Source organism: Homo sapiens, chromosome 5, assembly GCF_000001405.40.
Source record: "Homo sapiens chromosome 5, GRCh38.p14 Primary Assembly".
Classification (NCBI taxonomy): Eukaryota; Metazoa; Chordata; class Mammalia; order Primates; family Hominidae; genus Homo; species Homo sapiens.
In genome coordinates this window covers 97,284,662-97,307,666 of record NC_000005.10, presented here as the reverse complement: position 1 = coordinate 97,307,666, position 23,005 = coordinate 97,284,662, and the positions used below count along the sequence as shown (strand labels likewise).

Sequence of the window (23,005 nt, the reverse complement as noted above, 5' to 3'; positions counted from 1 at the left end):
TGTAAATACTCTGAAGAGCCAATGCAGTTCAAGGATACTCCACCCTGCCCAATTTGAGATCGCTCACTTCCTTACAGATCTCTTTCCCAAGAGCACTCACCAATACATCTTCTACATGCAATTCTCTATCTTGATGTCTAATTTCAGCTAATCCACTCTAAGACAAAAGTTCTCCAAAATAAATAACCCCCTTCTTAAGAAACTACATTAAGAAGAAAATACTTGAAAAGAAATGTGCTTTATATATATCAAAAGGTTCCATATTGAATGTTATTGTAATTTTTTCAAAAGATATCTATGGTTCTTCAGTGACACAATAGTAACATACCAGCATCTAAGCATAAGTCTACCTAGCCAAAAATCTGGGTTTGGAGAAATTTCTAAATAGTTTGAGAAAACTCTCAAACATACATTCATATGAAACTCACCATTTCAAAAGCCTAAAAGTTTTACATTTTGTCAACAGTTATATATTTTGGAAATAAAGTATTGAATACCCAGCCCATCTTTTTGATATAAACATAATAGTTTAAATTTTCATTAAAATTAATATTTTCAGAGGTGTTTCGAAGATGGCCAAATAGGAACAGCTCCAGTCTACAGCTCCCAGTGTGAGTGACACAGAAGACGGGTGATTTCTGCATTTCCAACTGAGGTACCTGGTTCATCTCATGGGGACTTGTCGGACAGTGGGTGCAGGACAGTGGGTGCAGCCCACCGAGCGTGAGCCAAAGCAGGGTGAGGCATCGTCTCACCCAGGAAGTGCAAGGGGTCAGGGAATTCCCTTTCCAGCCAAGGGAAGCTCTGACAGATGGCACCTGGAAAATCAGGTTACTCCCACCCTAATACTGCACTTTTCCAATGGTCTTAGCAAAAGGCACACCAGGAGATTATATGCTGCGCATAGCTCCGAGGGTCCCACGTCCAGAGCCTTGCTCATTGCTAGCACAGCAGTCTGAGATCGAACTGCAAGGTGGCAGCGAGGCTGGGGGAGGGGCGTCCACCATTGCTGAGGCTTGAGTAGGTAAACAAAGCAGCTGTGAAGCTCAAACTGGGTGGAGCCCACCTCAGCTCAAGGAGGCCTGCCTGCCTCTATAGAGTCCACCTCTGTGGGCAGGGCATAGCTGAACAAAAGGCAGCAGAAACTTCTGCAGACTAAAATGTCCTTGTCTGACAGCTTTGAAGAGAGTAGTGGTTCTCCCAGCACTTTTTTGAGATCAGAGAATGGACAGACTGCCTCCTCAAGTCGGTACCTGACCCCCAAGTAGCCTAACTGGGAGGCACCCTCCAGTAGGGGAAGACTGATAACTCACACAGCCAGGTACCCCTCTGAGATGAAGCTTTCAGAGGAACAATCAGGCAGAAACATTTGCTGTTCAGCAATATTCGCTGTTCTGCAGACTCCGCTGCTGATATCTAGGCAAACAGTGTCTGGAGTGGACCTCCAGCAAACTCCAACAGACCTGCAGTTGAGGATCCTGACTGTTAGAAGGAAAACTAACAAACAGAAAGGACATCCACACCAAAACCCCATCTGTACGTCACCATCACCAAAGATCAAAGGTAGATAAAATCACAAAGATGGGGATAAAACAGAGCAGAAAAGCTGAAAATTCTAAAAATTGAGTGCCTCTCCCCCTCCAAAGGAACACAGCTCCTCGCCAGCAACAGAACAAAGCTGGATGGAGAATGACTTTGATGAGTTGAGAGAAGGCTTCAGACGATCAAACTTCTCCAAGCTAAAGGAGGAAGTTCGAACCCATCACAAAGAAGATAAAAACCTTGAAAAAAGATTAGATGACTGGCTAACTAGAATAACCAGTGTAGAGAAGTCCTCAAATGACCTGATGGAGCTGAAAACCATGGCATGAGAACTACGTGATGAATGCACAGCTTCAGTAGCCAATTCAATCAACTAGAAGAAAGGGTATCAGTGATTGAAGATCAAATTAATCAAATGAAGCAAGAAGAGAAGTTTAGAGAAAAAAGAGTAAAAATAAATGAACAAAGCCTCCAAGAAATATGGGACTATTTGAAAAAAACAAATCTATGTCTGATTGGTGTACCTGAAAGTGACGGGGAGAATGGAACCAAGTTGGAAAACACTCGGCAGGATATGATCTAGGAGAACTTCCCCAACCTAGCAAGGCAGGCCAACATTCAAATTCAGGAAATAAAGAGAATGCCACAAAGATACTTCTCAAAAAGAGCAACTCCAAGACACATAATTGTCACATTCACCAAAGTTGAAATGAAGGAAAAAATGTTAAGGGCAGCCAGAGAGAAAGGTCGGGTTAACCACAAAGGGAAGCCCATCAGACTAACAGCGGATCTCTCGGCAGAAACTCTACAAGCCAGAAGAGAGTAGGGACCAATATTCAACATTCTTAAAGTAAAGAATTTTCAACCCAGATTTCATATCCAGCCAAACTAAGCTTCATAAGTGAAGGAGAAATAAAATACTTTACAGACAAGCAAATGCTGAGAGATTTTGTCACCACCAGCCCTGCCCTACAAGACCTCTTGAAGGAAGCCCTAAACATGGAAAGGAACAACTGGTACCAGCCACTGCAAAAACATGCCAAATTGTAAAGACCATCAATGGTAGGAAAAAACTGCATCAACTAACGAGCAAAATAACCAGCTAACATCATCATGACAGGAACAAATTCACACATAACAATATTAACCTTAAATGTAAATGGGCTAAATGGTCCCATTAAAACACACAGACTGGCAAATTGGATAAAGAGTCAAGACTCATCAGTGTGCTGTATTCAGGAGATCCATCTCACATGCAGAGACACACATAGGCTGAAAATACAGGGATGGAAGAAGATCTACCAAGCAAATGGAAAACAAAAAAAAGCAGGGATTGCAATCCTAGTCTCTGATAAAACAGACTTTAAACAACCAAGATCAAAAGAGTCAAAGAAGGCCATCACATAACGGTAAAGGGATCAATTCAACAAGAGCTAACTATCCTAAATATCTATGCACCCAATACAGGGGCACCCAGATTCATAAAGCAAGTCCTTAGAGACCTATAAAGAGACTTGGACTCCCACACAATAATAACGGGAGACATTAACACCCCACTGTCAACATTACACAGATCAACGAGACAGAAAGTTAACAAGGATATCCAGGAATTGAACTCAACTCTGCACCAAGCAGACCTAACAGACATCTACAGAACTCTCCACCCCAAATCAATAGAACATACATTCTTCTCAGCACCACATCACACTTATTCCAAAATTGACCATATAGGTGGAAGTAAAGCACTCCTCAGCAAATGTAAAAGAATAGAAATTATAACAAACCATCTCTCAGACCACAGTGCAATCAAACTAGAACTCAGGATTAAGAAACTCACTCAAAATTGTTCAACTACATGGAAACAGAACAACCTCTCCTGAATGACTACTGGGCATCTAACAAAATGAAGGCAGAAATAAAGATGTTCTTTGAAACCAGTGAGAATAAAGACACAACATACCAGAATCTCTGGGACACATTTAAAGCAGTGTGTAGAGGGAAAATTATGGCACTAAATGCCCACAAGAGAAAGCAGGAAAGATCTAAAATTGACATTCTAACATCACAATTAAAAGGACTAGAGAAGCAAGGGCAAACACATTCAAAAGCTAGCAGAAGGCAAGAAATAACTAAGATCAGAGCAGAACTGAAGGAGATAGAGACACAAAAAATCCTTCAAAAAATCAGTGAATCCAGGTGCTGGTTTTTTGAAAAGATCAACAAAATTCATAGACCACTAGCAAGATTAATAAAAAAGAAAAGAGAGAAGAATCAAATAGATGCAATAAAAAATGATATAGGGGATATCACCACCGATCCCACAGAAATATAAACTAACATCAGAGAATACTATAAACACCTCCATGCAAATAAACTAGAAAATCTAGAAGAAATGGATAAATTCCTGGAAACATACACCCTGCCAAAACTAAACCAGGAAGAAGTTGAATCCCTGAATAGACCAATAACAGGCTCTGAAACTGAGGCAATAATTAATAGGCTACAACCAAAAAAACTCCAGGACCAGAAGGATTCACAGCCAAATTCTACCACAGGTACAAAGAGGAGATGGTACCATTCCTTCTGAAACTATTCTAATCAATAGAAAAAGAGGGAATCCTCCCTAACTCATTTTATGAGGCCAGCATCATCCTGATACCAAAGCCTGGCAGAGACACAATAAAAGAATTTTAGACCAATATCCCTGATGAACATCGATGCAAAAATCCTCAATAAAATACTGGCAAACTGAATCCAGCAGCACATCTAAACGCTTAGCCACCATGATCAAGTGGGCTTCATCCCTGGGATGCAAGGCTGGTTCAATAAATGCAAATCAATAAATGTAATCCAGCATATAAACAGGACCAATGACAAAAACCATGTGATTATCTCAATAGATGCAGAAAAGGCCTTTGACAAAATTCAACAGCCCTTCAGGGTAAAAACTCTCAATAAATTAGGTATTGATGGGACCTATCTCAAAACAATAATAACTATTTGTGACAAACCCATAGCCAATATCATACTGAATGGGCAAAAACTGGAAGCATTTCCTTTGAAAACTGGCACAAGAGAGGGATGCCCTCTCTCACCACTCCTATTCAACATAGTGTTGGAAGTTCTGGCCAGGGCAATTAGGCAGGAGAAAGAAATAAAGGGTATTCAATTAGGAAAAGAGGAAGTCAAATTGTCCCTGTTTGCAGATGACATGATTGTATATCTAGAAAACCCCATCATCTCAGCCAAAAATCTCCTTAAGCTGATAAGCAACTTCCACAAAGTCTCAGGATACAAAATCAATGTGCAAGAATCACAAGCATTCTTATATACCAACAACAGACAAACAGAGAGCCCAATCACGAATGAACTCCCATTCACAATTGCTTCAAAGACAATAAAATACCTAGGAATCCAACCTACATTTCAAAGGCTGTGAAGGACCTCTTCAAGCAGAACTACAAACCACTGCTAAATGAAATAAAAGAGGACACAAACAAATGGAAGAACATTCTATGCTCATGGATAGGAAGAATCAATATGAAAATGGCCATACTGCCCAAGGTAATTTATAGATTCAATACCATCCCCCATCAAGCTACCAATGACTTTCTTCACAGAATTGGAAAAAACTACTTTAAAGTTCATATGGAACCAAAAAGAGCCTACATTGCCAAGTCAATCCTAAGCCAAAAGAACAAAGCTGGAGGCATCATGCTACCTGACTTCAAACTATACTACAAGGCTACAGTAACCACAACAGCATGGTACTGGTACCAAAACAGAGATATAGACCAATGGAACAGAACAGAGTCCTCAGAAATAATACTGTGTCCGTAATTGGTGGGTTCTTGGTCTCACTGACTTTTAGAATGAAGCCATGGACCCTCGCGGTGAGTGTTACAGTTACTAAAGGCAGCGTGTCCGGAGTTTGTTCCTTCTGATGTTCAGATGTGTTCGGAGTTTCTTCCTTTTGGTGGGTTCATGGTCTCGCTGGCTCAGGAGTGAAGCTGCAGACCTTCACGGTGAGTGTTACAGCTCATAAAGGCAGTGTGGACACAAAGAGTGAGCAGTAGCAAGATTTATTGCAAAGAGCAAAAGAACAAAGCTTCCACAGTGTGGAAGGGGACCCCAGCGGGTTGCCACTGCTGACTCTGGCAGCCTGCTTTTATTCTCTTATCTGGCCCCACCCACATCCTGCTGATTGGTAGAGCCAAGTGGTCTCTTTTGACAGGGTGCTGATTGGTGCATTTACAATCCCTGAGCTAGACACAAAGGTTCTCCATGTCCCCACCAGATTAGCTAGATACAGAGTGTCAACACGAAGGGTCTCCAAGGCCTCACCAGAGTAGCTAGATACAGAGTGTCGATTGGTGCATTCACAAACCCTGAGCTAGACACAGGGTGCTGATTGGTGTGTTTACAAACCTTGAGCTAGATACAGAGTGCCGATTGGTGTATTTACAATCCCTGAGCTAGACAAAAAGGTTCTCCACGTCCCCACCAGACTCAGGAACCCAGCTGGCTTCACCCAGTGGATCCTGCACTGGGGCTGCAGGTGGAGCTGCTTGCCAGTCCTGTGCCATGAGCCCACACTCCTCAGCCCTTGGGTGGTTGATGGGACTGGGTGCCGTGGAGCAGGGGGCAGTGCTCATCGCGGAGGCTCCGGCCACACAGGAGTCCACGGAGGGGGTGGGAGGCTCAGGCATGGTGGGCTGCAGGTCCCGAGCCCTGCCTCACGGGAAGGCAGCTAAGGCCCAGCGAGGAATCAAGCACAGCACTGGTGGGCTGGCACTGCTGGGGGACCCAGTACACCCTCCGCAGCCGCTGCCCTGGGTGCTAAGCCCCTTATTGCCTGGGGCCGGCAGGGCCGGCCGGCTGCTCCAAGTGCAGGGCCCGCCAAACCCATGCCCAGCTGGAACTCCAGCTGGCCCGCAAGTGCCGCGTGCAGCCCCGGTTCCCACTCACGCCTCTCCCTCCACACTTCCCTGCAAGCTGAGGGAGCCGGCTCCGGCCTTGGCCAGCCCAGAAAGGGGCTCCCACAGTGCAGCGGTGAGCTGAAGGGCTCCTCGAGTGCTGCCAAAGTGGTAGCCCAGGCAGAGGAGGCACCGAGAGCGAGCGAGGGCTCTGAGGACTGCCAGCACGCTGTCACCTCTCAATACCACACATCTACAACCATCTGATCTTTGACAAACCTGACAAAAACAAAAAATGGGGAAAGGATTCCCTATTTAATAAATGGTGCTGGGAAAACTGGCTAGCCATATGTAGAAAGCTGAAACTGGATCCCTTCCTTATACCTTATACAAAAATTAATTCAAGATGGATTAAAGACTTAAACGTTAGACCTAAAACCATAAAAACCCTAGAAGAAAACCTAGGCAATACCATTTAGGACATAGGCATGGGCAAGGACTGCATGTCTAAAACAGCAAAAGCAATGGCAACAAAAGCCACAATTGACAAATGGGATCTAATTAAACTCAAGAGTTTCTGCACAGCAAAAGAAACTACCATCAGAGTGAACAGGCAACCTACAGAATGGGAGAAAAGTTTTGCAACCTACTCATCTGACAAAGGGCTACTATCCAGAATCTACAAAGAACTCAAACAAATTTACAAGAAAAAAACAAACAACCTCATCAAAAAGTGGGCAAAGGACATGAACAGACACTTCTCAAAAGAAGACATTTATGCAGCCAAAAGACACATGAAAAAATGCTCGTCATCACTGGCCATCAGAGAAATGCAAATCAAAACCACAATGAGATACCATCTCACAGCAGTCAGAACACCGATCATTCAACAGTCAGGAAACAACAGGTGCTGGAGAGGATGTGGAGAAATAGGAACACTTTTACACTGTCGGTGGGACTGTAAACTAGTTCATCCATTGTGGAAGACAGTGTGGTGATTCCTCAAGGATCTAGAACTAGAAATACCATTTGACCCAGCCATCCCATTACTGGGTATATACTCAAAGGATTATAAATCATGTTGCTATAAAGACACATGCACATGTATGTTTACTGCAGCACTATTCACAATAGCAAAGACTTGGAACCAACCCAAATGTCCATCAATGATAGACTGGAATAAGAAAATGTGGCACATATACACCATGGAATACTATGCAGCCATAAAAAAGGATGAGTTCATGTCGTTTGTAGGGACATGGATGAAGCTGGAAACCATCATTCTCAGCAAACTGTCACAAAGAAAAAAAAACAAACACTGCATGTTCTCACTGATAGGTGGGAATTGAACAATGAGAACACATGGACACAGGAAGGGGAACATCACATGCTGGGGCCTGTCGTGGGGTAGGGGGAGGAGGGAGGGCATAGCATTAGGGGATATACCTAATGTAAATGACGAGTTAATGGGTGCAGGACACCAACATGGCAACCTACCCTACAACTTAAAGTATAATAAAAAATAAAAAAATAAAAAATAAAATAAAATCAATTATGACAAACAAGCTTTTCTGATCCAAAAAAATTAAATCTAATTGATATTTCCTTAATTTCATTTTTTTTAAAATTTAAAATTTGAAATGAAAATATCACTTTAAATCTGATAGTATTGATATAGGAGTTAAGAAGGAATTACTTAGGCTAATAGCAAGAGCATGAGAGCCCTCGGTAAGGCTTTTCTTTTTTTTTTTTTTTTTTTAATGAAAAGCAGCCCCACATCATTTTCTGTAAAATCAGCCTGTAAAATCAGGCTGCAGACACAGATAAGCAAGCTGGGAGCTTGCCTGGGTCAAGGCCAGCAGCAACTAGGGACTAGACATGTTCAAAATGGCGGCTTCATCTTCCTTCTTCTTTGTCAGCCAAGAGTATAGTAAAGAGCAGACAAGATGGCACTGATCAACTGGAAAGTCCATTTGCATAATAATATTAGGGTGGGGCCACCAGCCTTCCCTGTGCACTATGTAGACATCATATCTGATAGAACCAATCTGTGAGCCCTACATACATCAGACACCATCGTCTCCAGCCTGCCTATAAAATTTGCTGCAGTCCGCTTCTCTCCTCTCCCCTTTCTTGTGTCTATCATTTCCACTCCTTAACCCACCCACATGTGTCCGTGTCCTGAATTCTTTCTCAGCACACAACAATAAACCCCCAGGTATATATCCCATGGTATATACCTGCTGCTTGGTCGTATGGTTGCTTCAGTATTAAATACCAGGGCCAGGCATGGTGGCTCACGCCTGTAATCCCAGTACTTTGGGAGGCCAAGGCAGGCGGATCTCGAGGTCAGGAGTTCGAGACCAGCCTGGCCAACATAGTGAAACCCCGCTCTACTAAAAATACAGAAACAACCTGGGTGTGGTGGCATGCACCTATAACCCAAGCTACTTGGGAGGCTGAGGTAGGAGAATTGCTTGAACCCGGGAGGCAGAGGTTGCAGTGAACCGAGATCATGCCACTGCACTCCAGCCTGGGCGACAGAACAAGACTGTCTAAAAATATAAAAAATGAAAATAAAGAGCTTATGTATTAGACAGACAAAAGAGGCATAGCAACATGGCCAAATTCTCTAGCGATCACCCCCCTGCAGGAACACCAAATTGAACAACTATCTACACAAGAAAGCATCCTCATAAGAACCAAAAAAAAAAAAAAGTGAGTGATTACTGTACCTGCTTTTAACAAAATATCAAGGAAAGAGGCATTAAAGAAGGTAGGAAAGGCAGTCTTGCATTGCCTATACCACCCTTCCATCATTTCGTGGCAGTACAGTCCAGATAATTACTATGCTTTGGGAAACCAGAGTGAAGTCAGTGTTGAACTTTGCATTGGAACTCAGTGCTACCTGTCATAGCAAAACACAATGCAAGGCAGAGAGCTTTGCTGGTATCGACAGGAAACATTTAGACCAGCCCTGGGCCGGAGGGAAACTCTCAGCCCCAGCAGGAGGAACCCAGATCACAGCTGGTTCCACCACTGGCTGACTAAAGTGACCTAGGGCCTGGAATAAAACTGAGTGGCCATCTGGCGAAAAGGACTACTGTCCTTGGGCAAGGCCTGGTGCTGCACTAGTCTCAGAGGCAATAAGACTTGGGGTGCATGTGACCCAGTGTTATACCAGCTGTGGCAGGTAAGAGAATAAAACTGAGTGGCCATCTGCCCAAAGGACTACAGTCCTTGGGCAAGGCCTGGTGCTGCACTAATCTCAGAGGCAATGGGACTTGGGGTGCATGTGACCAAGTGTAACACCAGCTGTGGCAGCTAAGAGATTACTCATGTCACCCCTCCCAGAACTCTTGGCAGTGCAGCTTGGGGAGAGATTCCTACTTGGGGAAAAGAGAGGGAAGAATACAGAGGACTTAAGTCTTAGAAGTTGGGTACTAGCTTAGCCACAGTAAAATAAACATCAAGAAGAGCCCTAAAGCTCCTGACTCTAGGCCCTAGCTCCTGAACAGCATTTATACACCGACCCTGGGCCAGAGGAGAACTTGCTAACCTGAAGGGAAAGACACAAGCCTGGCTAGACTCATCACCTCCTGACTAAAGTGCCCTTGGCCCTTGATAAACATCAGCTTTAGCCAGGCAATAGTGACCACAGACCTTTAGCAAGACCCAGTCCTGGGCTGGTTATAAGTTGGACCCAACAGGGTCCCAGTCATGGTGGCTATAGGTGTGCTTTTGACACCCCTTCCCCAACCCCAGGCAGTTCAGCACAGGGACTTCATTTGTTTGGGGGAAAGCAAGGGAAGAGAACAGGAGTCTCTGCCTGATAATCCAGTGAATTCTCTCAGATCTTATCCAAACCACCACCAAAGCGGTACCACTAGGAGTCTCTGTGACTCTTGTCACAGAGGCACCTCTGTGACTCTTGTAGAGTCACAGCGTTACTGGGCTTGGGGTGCGCCCTAATGTAGATATGGCTGCACTGACCAAAATCTTAGATCACAACACTCAATTCGCTTTGAATACTTGGAAAGCCTTCCTAATATGGGTGGGTGCAAACAAGTCCAAACTGCAAACATTGTAATAAACACCTAGCTCTTCAATGCCTAGACATCAATTAATGTCCACAAAGATCAAGAGCATCCAAGAAAACATGACCTCACCAAACAGACTAAAGAGTGACAGAGATATACGAATTTTCAGACAGGGAATTCAAAATAGCCGTCTTGAGGAAGCTAAACAAACTCCAAGATAACACAGACAAGGAATTCAGAATTCTATCAGAGAAATTTAACAAAGAGTAATTGATTTTTTAAAATATCAAGCAGAAATTTGGGAGCTTAAAAATTAAATTGACAAATTGAAAAATAAACACAAAGTCTTTAGCGAGCAGAATTGATCAAGCAGAAGAAAGAATTAGTAAACCTGAAGATAGGCTGTATGAAAATACAGTCAGAGAAGACAGAAAAGAGAAGAAAGCATACCTACAAGATCTAGAAAACAGCCTCAAAGGGTCAAATCTAAGAGTTGTTGGCCTTAAAGAGGAAGGAGAGAGAGAGAGAGACAGAGACAGAGACAGAGAGAGAGAAGTTTATTCAGAGAAATAGTAACAGGGCTTAGGATTGACTTGGCGATGCGGGCTCTTTTTTAGTTCCATATGAACTTTAAAGTAGTTTTTTCCAATTCTGTGAAGAAAGTCATTGGGTGCTTGATGGGGATGGCATTGAATCTGTAAATTACCTTGGGCAGTATGGCCATTTTCACGATATTGATTCTTCCTACCCATGAGCATGGAATGTTCTTCCACTTGTTTGTATCCTCTTTTATTTCCTTGAGCAGTAGTTTGTAGTTCTCCTTGAAGAGGTCCTTCACATCCCTTGTAAGTTGGATTCCTAGGTATTTTATTCTCTTTGAAGCAATTGTGAATGGGAGTTCACTCATGATTTGGCTCTCTGTTTGTCTGTTGTTGGTGTATAAGAATGCTTGTGATTTTTGTACATTGATTTTGTATCCTGAGACTTTGTGGAAGTTGCTTATCAGCTTAAGGAGATTTTAGGCTGAGACGATGGGGTTTTCTAGATATACAATCATGTCATCTGCAAACAGGGACAATGTGACTTCCTCTTTTCCTAATTGAATACCCTTTATTTCCTTCTCCTGCCTAATTGCCCTGGCCAGAACTTCCAACACTATGTTGAATAGGAGTGGTGAGAGACGGCATCCCTGTCTTGTGCCAGTTTTCAAAGGGAATGCTTCCAGTTTTTGCCCATTCAGTATGATATTGGCTGTGGGTTTGTCATAGATAGCTCTTATTATTTTGAAATACATCCCATCAATACCTAATTTATTGAGAGTTTTTACCATGAAGGGCTGTTGAATTTTGTCAAAGGCCTTTTCTGCATCTATTGAGATAATCATGTGGTTTTTGTCTTTGGTTCTGTTTATATGCTGGACTACATTTACTGATTTGCGTATATTGAACCAGCCTTGCATCCCAGGGATGAAGCCCACTTGATCATGGTGGCTAAGCTTTTTGATGTGCTGCCGGATTCGGTTTGCCAGTATTTTATTGAGGATTTTTGCATCAATGTTCATCAAGGATATTGGTCTAAAATTCTCTTTTTTGATTGTGTCTCTGCCCGACTTTGGTATCATCACACTACCTGACTTCAAACTATACTACAAGGCTACAGTAACCAAAACAGCATGGTACTGGTACCAAAACAGAGATATACATCAATGGAACAGAACAGAGCCCTCAGAAATAATGCCACATATCTACAACTATCTGATCTTTGACAAACCTGACAAAAACAAGAAATGGGGAAAGGATTCCCTATTTAATAAATGGTGCTGGGAAAACTGGCTAGCCATATGTAGAAAGCTGAAACTGGATCCCTTCCTTACACCTTATACAAAAATCAATTCAAGATGGATTAAAGACTTAAACGTTAGACCTAAAACCATAAAAACCCTAGAAGAAAACCTAGGCATTACCATTCAGGACATAGGCATGGGCAAGGACTTCATGTCTAAAACACCAAAAGCAATGGCAACAAAAGCCAAAATTGACAAATGGGATCTAATTAAACTCAAGAGTTTCTGCACAGCAAAAGAAACTACCATCAGAGTGAACAGGCAACCTACAAAATGGGAGAAAATTTTCGCAACCTACTCATCTGACAAAGGGCTAATATCCAGAATCTACAATGAACTCAAACAAATTTACAAGAAAAAAACAAACAACCCCATCAAAAAGTGGGCAAAGGACATGAACAGACACTTCTCAAAAGAAGACATTTATGCAGCCAAAAAACACATGAAAAAATGCTTACCATCACTGGCCATCAGAGAAATGCAAATCAAAACCACAGTGAGATACCATCTCACACCAGTTAGAATGGCAATCATTCAAAAGTCAGGAAACAACAGGTGCTGGAGAGGATGTGGAGAAATAGGAACACTTTTACACTGTTGGTAGGACTGTAAACTAGTTCAACCATTGTGGAAGTCAGTGTGGCGATTCCTCAGGGATCTAGAACTAGAAATACCATTTGACCCAGCCATCCCATTACTGGGTATATACCCAAAAGACTATAAATCATGCTGCTATAAAGACACATGCACACGTATGTTTATTGCGGCATTATTCACAATAGCAAAGACTTGGAACCAACCCAAATGTCCAACAATGATAGACTGGATTAAGAAAATGTGGCACATATACACCATGGAATACTATGCAGCCATAAAAAATGATGAGTTCATGTCTTTTGTAGGGACACGGATGAAATTGGAAATCATCATTCTCAGTAAACTATCACAAGAACAAAAAACCAAACACCGCATATTCTCACTCATAGGTGGGAATTGAACAATGAGAACACATGGACACAGGAAGGGGAACATCACACTCTGGGGACTGTTGTGGGGTGGGGGGAGGGGGGAGGGATGGCATTGGGAGATATACCTAATGCTAGATGACGAGTTAGTGGGTGCAGTGCACCAGCATGGCACATGTATACATATGTAACTAACCGGCACATTGTGCACATGTACCCTAAAATTTAAAGTATAATAATAATAAATAAAAAAAAGAAATAATAACAGGGAACTTTTCAAACACAGAGAAAGATAAGAATACCCAGGTACAAGAAGGTCACAGAATACCAATAAGATTCAACCCAAAAAAGATGATTTCAAGGTATATAATAATCAGACTCTCAAAGGGCAAGGATAAAGAAAGAATCCTAAAAGCCACAAGAGAAAAGAAGCAAATAACATATGAAGGAGCTCTGATATGTCTGGCAGCAGACTTCTCAGCAGAAGCCTTACCAGCTAGGACAGAGTGAAATGACATATTCAAAGTGCTGAAGGAAAACAAACTCAACCTAGAATAATATATCCAGCAAAATTATCCTTCAAACATGAAGGAGAAATAAATACTTTCACAGAAAACAAAAGCTGAGAGATTTTGTCAAATATCAGATCTGTCTTACAAAAAATACTAAAGGGAATTCTTCAATCTGAAAGAAAAAGATGTGAATAAACAATAAGAAATCCTCTAAAGGTATAAAACTAAATCACTGATAATAATAAGTACACAGACAAATATGGAATACTTTAAAACTATAATTGCAGTGTGTAAAATACTGATATTTAGTAGGAAGACTAAAAGACAAACCTACCAAAAATTAGTAACTACAACTTTTTAAGAGATTGACAATATAAAAATACATAAATTGAGACGGCAAAAAGTCAAAAAGCAGGAGGATGGAGTTAAAATGTAGAGTTTTTTAGTATTCTCTTTGCTTATTTGTTTTATTTTACTTCCTTGTAATCAGAGTTAACTTGTCATCAGTTTAAAATATTTGGTTATAAGATGTTATTTGCAAACCTCATGGTAAAAATAAAAAACCTGTAATAAATACACAGATATTTTAAAAACAAGAAATTAAAACATACTATCAGAGAAAATTACTTTTACACAAAAAGTGCTTTTCTTTCATCCTTTCTGTCGTCTTTCTATCACTGAAGGAATTGAGAAAGAAATTTTTAAAGTTTTTTGAAACAAATAAAAATGGAAACACATTTACCAAATTCTTGGGATGCAGCAAAAGCAATAATAAGGGGGAACTTTAAAGCAACAAACATATACCATAAAAAGATAAACTTCAAATAAACAATATAACAATGCATCTTAAAGAACTAGAAAAACAAAAGCAATGAAAACCCAAATTAGTAGAAGAAAATAAATAATAAATATCAGAGCAAAATAAATATAATTTAGGCTAAAAATATAAATGATCAATGAAACAAAAAGATAAACAAAATCTTTTGTGAAAAGATAGACAAAATTGACAAACTGTAGCCATATTAACTAAGAAAAAAAACAGAAAAGACTCAATCAATAAAACCAGAGATGAAAAAGCAGACATTACAACTGATACCACAGAAATCCAAACGATCATTAAAAACTATTGTGAACAACCATATGCCAATAAATTAGAAAAGCTAGTAGAAACAGATAAATCCCTAGGCACATTACAACCTGCAAAGTTTGAACCATGAAGAAATCCAAAACCTGAATAGACCATAATAAGTAAAGAGATAGAACAGTAATAAAATGTCTCCCGTCAAAGACAAGCCCAGGACCGAATGACTTCACTGCTAAATTCTACCAAACATTTAAATAAGAAATCATATCAATCATACTCAAACTACATCAAAAATGTGAGGAGGAGGGAATACTTTCAAACTCATTCTAGGAGGCCAGCATTACACTAATATGGAAACCACACAAATCTACAATAACAACAACAAAAAAACCTACAAGCCAATATTCCTAATGAACACAAATGCAAAAATTCTCAACAAATACTAGTAAACCAAATTCAACAACACATTAAAAAGATCATTTATCACAATCAAGTAGGATTCATCCCACAAATGTGAGATTGGTTCAACATATGCAAATTTTAATATGTGATACATCACATCAACAGAATGAAGGACAAAAACCACATGATCATTTTAGTAGATGCCAAGAAAAATCAACTGATAAACTTCAGCATCAGGCCTGGCACAGCAGTGGCTCATGCTTGTAATCCCAACACTCTGGGAGGTTGAGGCAGGAGGATCCTTTGAGGCCAGGAGTTCAAGACCAGCCTAGGCAACATAGCAAAATCCTATCTCTATAAAAGAAAGAAAGATAAGAGAAACATTTTTCACAAGGCATCCATTTTCATAAAAAAATTCATATCAGTTTATGGTAGACACTTTCAAAAAATTGGGTAGGTGGAAGATACTTCAACATGATAAAACCCATATATTACAAACCCACAGCTAGTATCATACAGAACAGGGAAAATCTAAAAGCCTTCTCTAAGTTCTGAAACAAGATAAGGATGCCTACTTCCACCATTTTTATTCAACATAGTACTAAAGTCCTAGCTAGAGCAAGTTAACAAAAGAAAGAAAGAAAGGGCATACAAACTGGAAAGGAAGAAGTCAATTTATTTTTGTCTGCAGATAATAAGATCTTATATTTGGGACAATCTAAAGATTCCACCAAAAAAAAACTATTATAACTGATAAACAAATTCAGTAAAGTTTCAGGATACAAAACCAACATACACAAATCAGTGTATTTCTATATGCCAACACTGAACAATCTGAAAAGAAATGAAGAAAGTAGTATCATTTACAGTAGCTACAATTAAAATAAAATACCTAGGAATTAACTTGACCAAATAAATGAAAGATCTTTACAATGAAAATCATAAAGCATTGATGAAAGAAATTGAAGAGGACACACCAAAAAAATGAAAAGATATTTTATGTTCATGAATTGGAAGAATCAATATTATTAAAATATCTATACTACTCAAAGTAATCTACAGATTCCATTTAATCCCTATCAAAATGAATACGTTATTAAAGAAATAGAAAAACAATTCTAAAATTTATATGGAACCACAAAAGACCCAAAATAGCCAAAGCTATCCTGAGCAAAATGAACAAAGCTGGAAGCATTACATTACCTGACTTTATACTATAGAATTATAGTAATCAAAACATCATGGTGCTGTGATAAAAACAGATGCATAAACCAGTGAAACAGAATAGAGAGCCCAAAAATCAATCCATGCATCTAAATTCAACTCATTTTTGATGAATGTACCAAGAACATATATTGGGGAAATGAAAGTCTCTTCAATAAATGGTGCCAGGAAAACTGGATATCCATATGCAGAAGAATGAAACTAGACCCCTATCTCTCACCATATACAAAACCAAAATCCAAACGAATTAAAGATTTAAATCTAAGATCTCAAATTATGAAACTACTATAAGAAAACATTGGGGAAACACTCCAAGGCATTGGTCTGGGCAAATATTTCCTGAGTAACACCTCAAAAGTACAGGCAACCAAACCAAAAATGGACAAATGGGATCACATCAAGTTAAAAAGCCTCGACACAGCAAAGGAAACCATCAACAAAGTGAACAGACAACCCACAGAATGGGAGAAAATATTTGAAAAACACCAATCTGACAGGGGATTAATAACAGGAAAGCTAAGGAGCTCAGACCACTCACTAGCGAACAATAATAATAATAATCTGTTTAAAAATGGGCAAAAGGTCTGACTAGGCATTTCTCAAAAGAAGACATACAAATGGCAAATAGGTGTAAGAAAAAATGCTCAAAGAAATACAAACCAAAACTATAATGAAATATCATTTCACTCCAGTTAAAATGGCTCATATTCAAAAGTCAGGCAGTAACAAATGCTGGTGAAGATGTGGAGAAAAGGGAACCCTCCTATACTGTTGGCCAGAGTGTACATAGTACAACCACTATGAGGAACACCATGAAGGTTCTTCAAAAACCTAAAAATAGAACTACCATATGATCCAACAATCTCACTTCTGGGTATATTTAAAAGAAAGAAATTAGTATAACAAAGAGATCTGCCCTCTCATGTTTATTGCAGCACTACTCACAATAGCCAAGATATGGAATCAACCTAAGTGTCCATCAATAGAGGAATGGACAAAGAAAATATGGTACAAATACACAATGGAATATTATTCAGCCATAAAGAAGAATGAAATCATTTCATTTGCAACAACATGGATGAAAGTGGAGGATATTATCTTAAGTGAAATAAGCCAAGCACAGAAACACCAATATTGCATGTAAAAGCAAAAAAAAAAAAAAAATTGACCTCATGGAAATAGAGTAGAATGATAGCTACCAGAGATTGGGAAGAGTAGTATTGGAGGGTAAATAAGGAGTTGCTGGTTAATGCATTCAAAAATAGAGTTAGATAGAATGAACAGATCTAGTGTTAGTAGCACATAGGGCAAGTATAGTTAAAAATAATGTATTATATATTTTAAATAACTAAAGGAGTGAAATTAGAATGTTCCTAACACAAAGAAATAATAAATGCTTGAGGTTATGGGTACCCTAATTACCCAGACTTGATCACTGCACACTGTATGCCTGTATCAAAGCATCAAATGTACCCCATAAATTTGTACAACTATTATGCACCCTTAATTTTAAAAAATGTTTAATCATAAGTGTTAGGCATTCTCTCTACTATGCCCTTTCTGTATAAATATATACTCCAATATCTAGATATCTATATTTATATGCACATTTATGTGTTCAACAACCTTAAGGTAGATTCTTTTCTTTCTTTCATAAAGGAGAAAATTGAGGTTCTTTCACAAATTTAAAAAATAAGATACTAAGTAAATTTTCCAGGGTCACATACCAATAGATGTTAAAACTTGGATTTGAAGTCAGGTTTGTGTGGTTCCTAAACCTATGCTTTTCAAAATAACATATCTTTTCTTCAAAATGAAGCATTTCAAAAATGTATCCATGGATCACAGAGGTAGTATGATCATGTGAAAGATCTGGGGAGGTAACAACAGGGGTGGGGGCTTTAATCGCTAGACTCAACTCTATTACTTAACAACCTATATGACCTAGACAAATAAAATACACTCTAAATTTTCATCTACTGCACTGACATTTCAATAAGCATTAATAGATATGTATAATAGATACCTATTGCTGAGTGCATGCAATGGGTTAGACATGCATAAATACCTGCAAATATTTTATTAAATCCTCACAAGAATTTTATGAAATAGATATTTTATCCATTTTGAAGATGAGAAAACTGAGTTCAGATATTCTAAGTGAATCGCTCAAAGGTATCGACTTCACAGGCTTCTTTACAGGAATTTAGCATGGTGAGTCATACTAAGATACTAAAGAAATTCTAAAATTCTATAGAAAGGCAAAGAAATACTACTTTTAAATTTTTATTTTATTTATTCTTTTACATTATTTTGTCTACAATTTATACACTCCCTATAAGATACAAGTTCTATTGGTCCTACAAGAAAAAAAAAGTGCTACCCCATGACAGGGTCTTATTGGTTTGGCTTCTTTTTTTTTTTTTTTTTTTTTCTTATTGAAACCTCTACATCAATCCTCAGTGGAAGAGAGATAAGTAAATTATTGATATGAGAGTTTACAGCAAATAGATACCTAAACTTAGTGTGCTTTGTCTTTCAAAATTATTTACTTTAACAAATCTAGACAGTCATTATCTTTCTCTCACTTTAAAATCAGGCAAATCAAAATTTAGGTTTAAAAAAATTAAACACATTTCTTATTTCACATTTATTCCCTACTGTTAAGTCAAGCCTTAATCAAAAAGTTAAAATATTTTAATGGAACAAATCTCAATGTATAGATTAGAAAATTACACAAAAATACACTATTTCATCAATGTTACAATGGCTCTTTATGACATTTTAATAACTTGAAATTAAGATGATTCTTTCAATCTATGGTGTGTCGTGGTTTATTGTCAATGTTTTTTCTTACTTTGAGATATATAAATCAATAGTGAAACACAGAATCAACAGCAACTTAAATTTGATCAAATATAGAAGCTTTAAGTATCATATTTCTCTACTCTTTTGAAATAAGTTTTTACTTATTTCAAAAACAGAACCCTTCGTTGCTTGATATCTTATTTATCAATCTGTGATGTTATTTTTTATTCAAACATTCGTAAAACTGTAACTCTAAGATTAACTGTTTTTACATTGTCCACTATGAATTTACATTAAAATTCAAACAAATTAGAATGAAATATGAGTCTTAGATATAATTATCAGAAAAGCCTTATATGTTAAAACATGTTTAGATTTTTTGAAGGATCATAACTTATTTTTGTTATCTAGTAGAAACTTATGAAAAATAGAGCATGCCAAATTATAAATTCGCCAAATAAAGACACACCTGACAGTTTCTCTGCAGTTCATTTTGTAGGCTCTGGTACATGTCAACATTTTATTCCTTCAGATCAGGCAAGGTTTATAAGTCGGACTTTTCTAGCTGTTATGGCCTAAATGATTCCCAAAATTTATGTGTTGAAACTTAACCCCCATTATGGTACTGCTAAGTGATAGAGCCTTTTGGAAAGTAACTAAGTCATGAGGGCTTCATTCTCATGAATGAATTCGTGTCTGATAAAAAGAGCTGGAGGGAGCTGACTTTGACCCCTCTTTCCCTACTATTCCTTCTGTCATGTGAGGATATAGCAAGAAGGCCCTCACCAAACCAAATGCTGGCATCTTGATCTTGAACTTCCCAGCCTCCAGAACTATAAGAAATAAATTTCTGTTCTTTATACATTGCCCAGTCTGTGGTATTTTGCTATAACTGCACAAACAAACTAAGACACTAATCAAATAAGAATTTCTTTCTGTAAAATCGAGAGATTCCATTAAGAGGATAATATGTACGTCGGGGGTTAAGATGGTAAGTACAAAATAATATATTCCAAGCAATTCAATTAGAAAAAGAATAAATTTTAAGATTATCAAGTAAGCCTTTGTTTTTCTTTAGATAAAACCAGACTTTTAAGTTCATCTCTGCATATTGCCAAAAACAACAAGAAAACATTGATGACAAACCTATTAAGTAAAAAGTATACTTGATAGAGCTTATATTAAATGAAGTCACTTGAGTTAAAAACCAATAAATGGTGCTGCAAAAACTGGATTGCCAGATGTGAAAGAATAAAACTGGACCCCACCTCTCATCATATACAAAAGTTAACTCAAGATGGATTAAAGACTTAAATGTACAACCCAAAACCATTTCAATAAATACTAAGAAAAGATCTAAGGATAACTCTTATAAGCATTGGTCGGGGCAAAAAATTTGTCACTAAAACATCAAAAGCATAGGCAATTTAAAAAGTAGGCAAATGGGAATTAATTAAACAAGAAGCTTCTGCACAGCCCAAGAAATAATCAACAGAGTGAACAGACAACTTGTAAAATGGGAGAAAATATCTACAAACTATTTATTTAGCAGGGGACTAATACCAAAATACACGAAAACTCAAACAACTTAACAAATAATCCCATTAAAAAGAGGGCAACAAAATTAGCCGGGCATGGTGGTGGGCACCTGTAGTCCCAGCTACTTGGGAGGCTGAGGCAGGAGAATGGCGTGAACCTGGGAGGCAGAGCTTGCAGTGAGCCAAGATCACACCACTGCACCCCAGCCTGGGCAACAGAGCGAGATTCCATCTCAAAAAAAAAAAAAAAAAAAAGAGGGCAACAATGGTATGCTGTCTTCAACAGACCCATCTCACATGTAATGACACTCATAGGCTCAAAATAAAGGAAAGGAGGCAAACCTATCAAGCAAATGGAAAAGAGAAAAAAGTATAGGTTTCAGTTCTAATTTCAGAAAAAACAGATTTCAAACCAACAAATATCAAAAAAGACAAAGAAGGGCATTACATAATCATAAAGGGTTCAATTCAACAAAAAGACCTAACTATCCTAAATATATATGCAGTCAACATAGGACCATCCAGATTTACAAAGAAAGTTCATAGAGAACTAAAAAGACACATATACTCCCATACAATTATAGTGGGAGACTTCAACACTACACTGATAGTAATAAATCATCGGTGGAGAAAATTAACCAAGATATTCAGGACCTGAATTCAACATTGGCTCAAATGAATCTGATAGACCTTTACAGAACTCTCCACCCCAAAAACAACAGAATATACATTCCTCTGATAACCATATGGCACATACTCTAAAATCGACCACAAAATTGGCCATGAAACAATCCTCAACAAATGCAAAAGAAAAAAATCATAAAATCATACTTAACACTTTCAGCACAATAAAAATAGAACTCAAGACTACAAAAACCACACAACTACAAAAAAATTAAACAAGATGCCCTTGAATGACATTTGGGTAAAAAATAAAACTAAAGCAGAAATCAAGAAGTTCTTTGAAAATAATGTGAACAAAGATACAACATATCAGAATCTCTGGGACCTAGGTAAAGCAGTGTTAAGAAGAAAATTTATAGCAATAAATGTCCACATTAAAAAGTTAGAAATATCTCAATTTAACAACCAAACATCACAACTGGAAGAATTAAAGAAGCAAGAACATATATATCAACCCCAAAGCTAGAAGAATAAAAAAAAATCAGAGCTGAACTGAAGGAAATCGAGACACAAAAAAACATTCAAAAGATCAACAAATCCAGGAGTTAGTTTTGTGAAAAAAATAATATGATAGATAGGCTGTTAGCTAGATTAATAAAAGAGAAAAGAGACAAGATCCAAATAAACATAAATAGAAATGATGATGGAAATGCTACTCCTGACTCCATTGAAATAAAAACAACCATCAAAAACTACTATGAACACCTCTATGCACACAAACTACAAAACCTAAAAGAGATAAATAAATTCCTGGACACATACACTCTTGCAAAAATGAGCCAGGAAGAAATAGATTCCCTAAACAGACTAATAACAGGCTCTGAAATTGAATCAGTAATAAAAAGTCTACCAACCAAAGAAAGCCCAGGACCTGATGGATTTATAGCCAAATTCTACCAGATGTACAAAGAAGAGCTGGTACCATTCCTGCTGAAACTATTCCCAAAAAAGGATAAGGAGGGACTCGTCTGCAACTCATTCTATAAGGTCAGCATCATCTTGATACCAAAACCTGGAAGAGACACAACAAAAAGAAGAAAACTTCAGACCAATATCCTTGATGAACATCAATGCAAAAATCCTCAACAAAATACGGCAAACTGAATCCAGCAGCACAATGAAAAGCTTATTGATGACAATCGAGTAAGATTCATCCTCAGAATGCAAGGTTGGTTCAACATACACAGATCAACAAATGTGACTCATCACATAAACAAAACTGAAGACAAAAATCACATGATTGTCTCAATAGACACAGAAACGGTTTTCTATAAAATTCAACACCACTTCATGTTTTAAACTCACAATTAACTAGGTATTGAAGGAGCATACTTCAAATAATAAGAGCCATCTATAACAAACCCACAGCCAACATTATACTGAATGGGCAAAAGCTGGAAACATTTACCTTGAAAACCAGTACAAAACAAGGATGCCCTCTCTCACC

The 23,005-nt window shown here is 38.4% G+C and overlaps 3 annotated features.

Annotated features, from left to right (window-relative positions):
- Window positions 9,642–9,701: an enhancer, noted in NCBI's record as "active region_22833". NCBI's record gives its function as "activates an Ori minimal core promoter by ATAC-STARR-seq in GM12878 lymphoblastoid cells {active_cell/tissue: GM12878}" and the evidence as "EXISTENCE:reporter gene assay evidence [ECO:0000049][PMID:35858748]".
- Window positions 9,712–9,761: an enhancer, noted in NCBI's record as "active region_22832". NCBI's record gives its function as "activates an Ori minimal core promoter by ATAC-STARR-seq in GM12878 lymphoblastoid cells {active_cell/tissue: GM12878}" and the evidence as "EXISTENCE:reporter gene assay evidence [ECO:0000049][PMID:35858748]".
- Window positions 9,802–9,921: an enhancer, noted in NCBI's record as "active region_22831". NCBI's record gives its function as "activates an Ori minimal core promoter by ATAC-STARR-seq in GM12878 lymphoblastoid cells {active_cell/tissue: GM12878}" and the evidence as "EXISTENCE:reporter gene assay evidence [ECO:0000049][PMID:35858748]".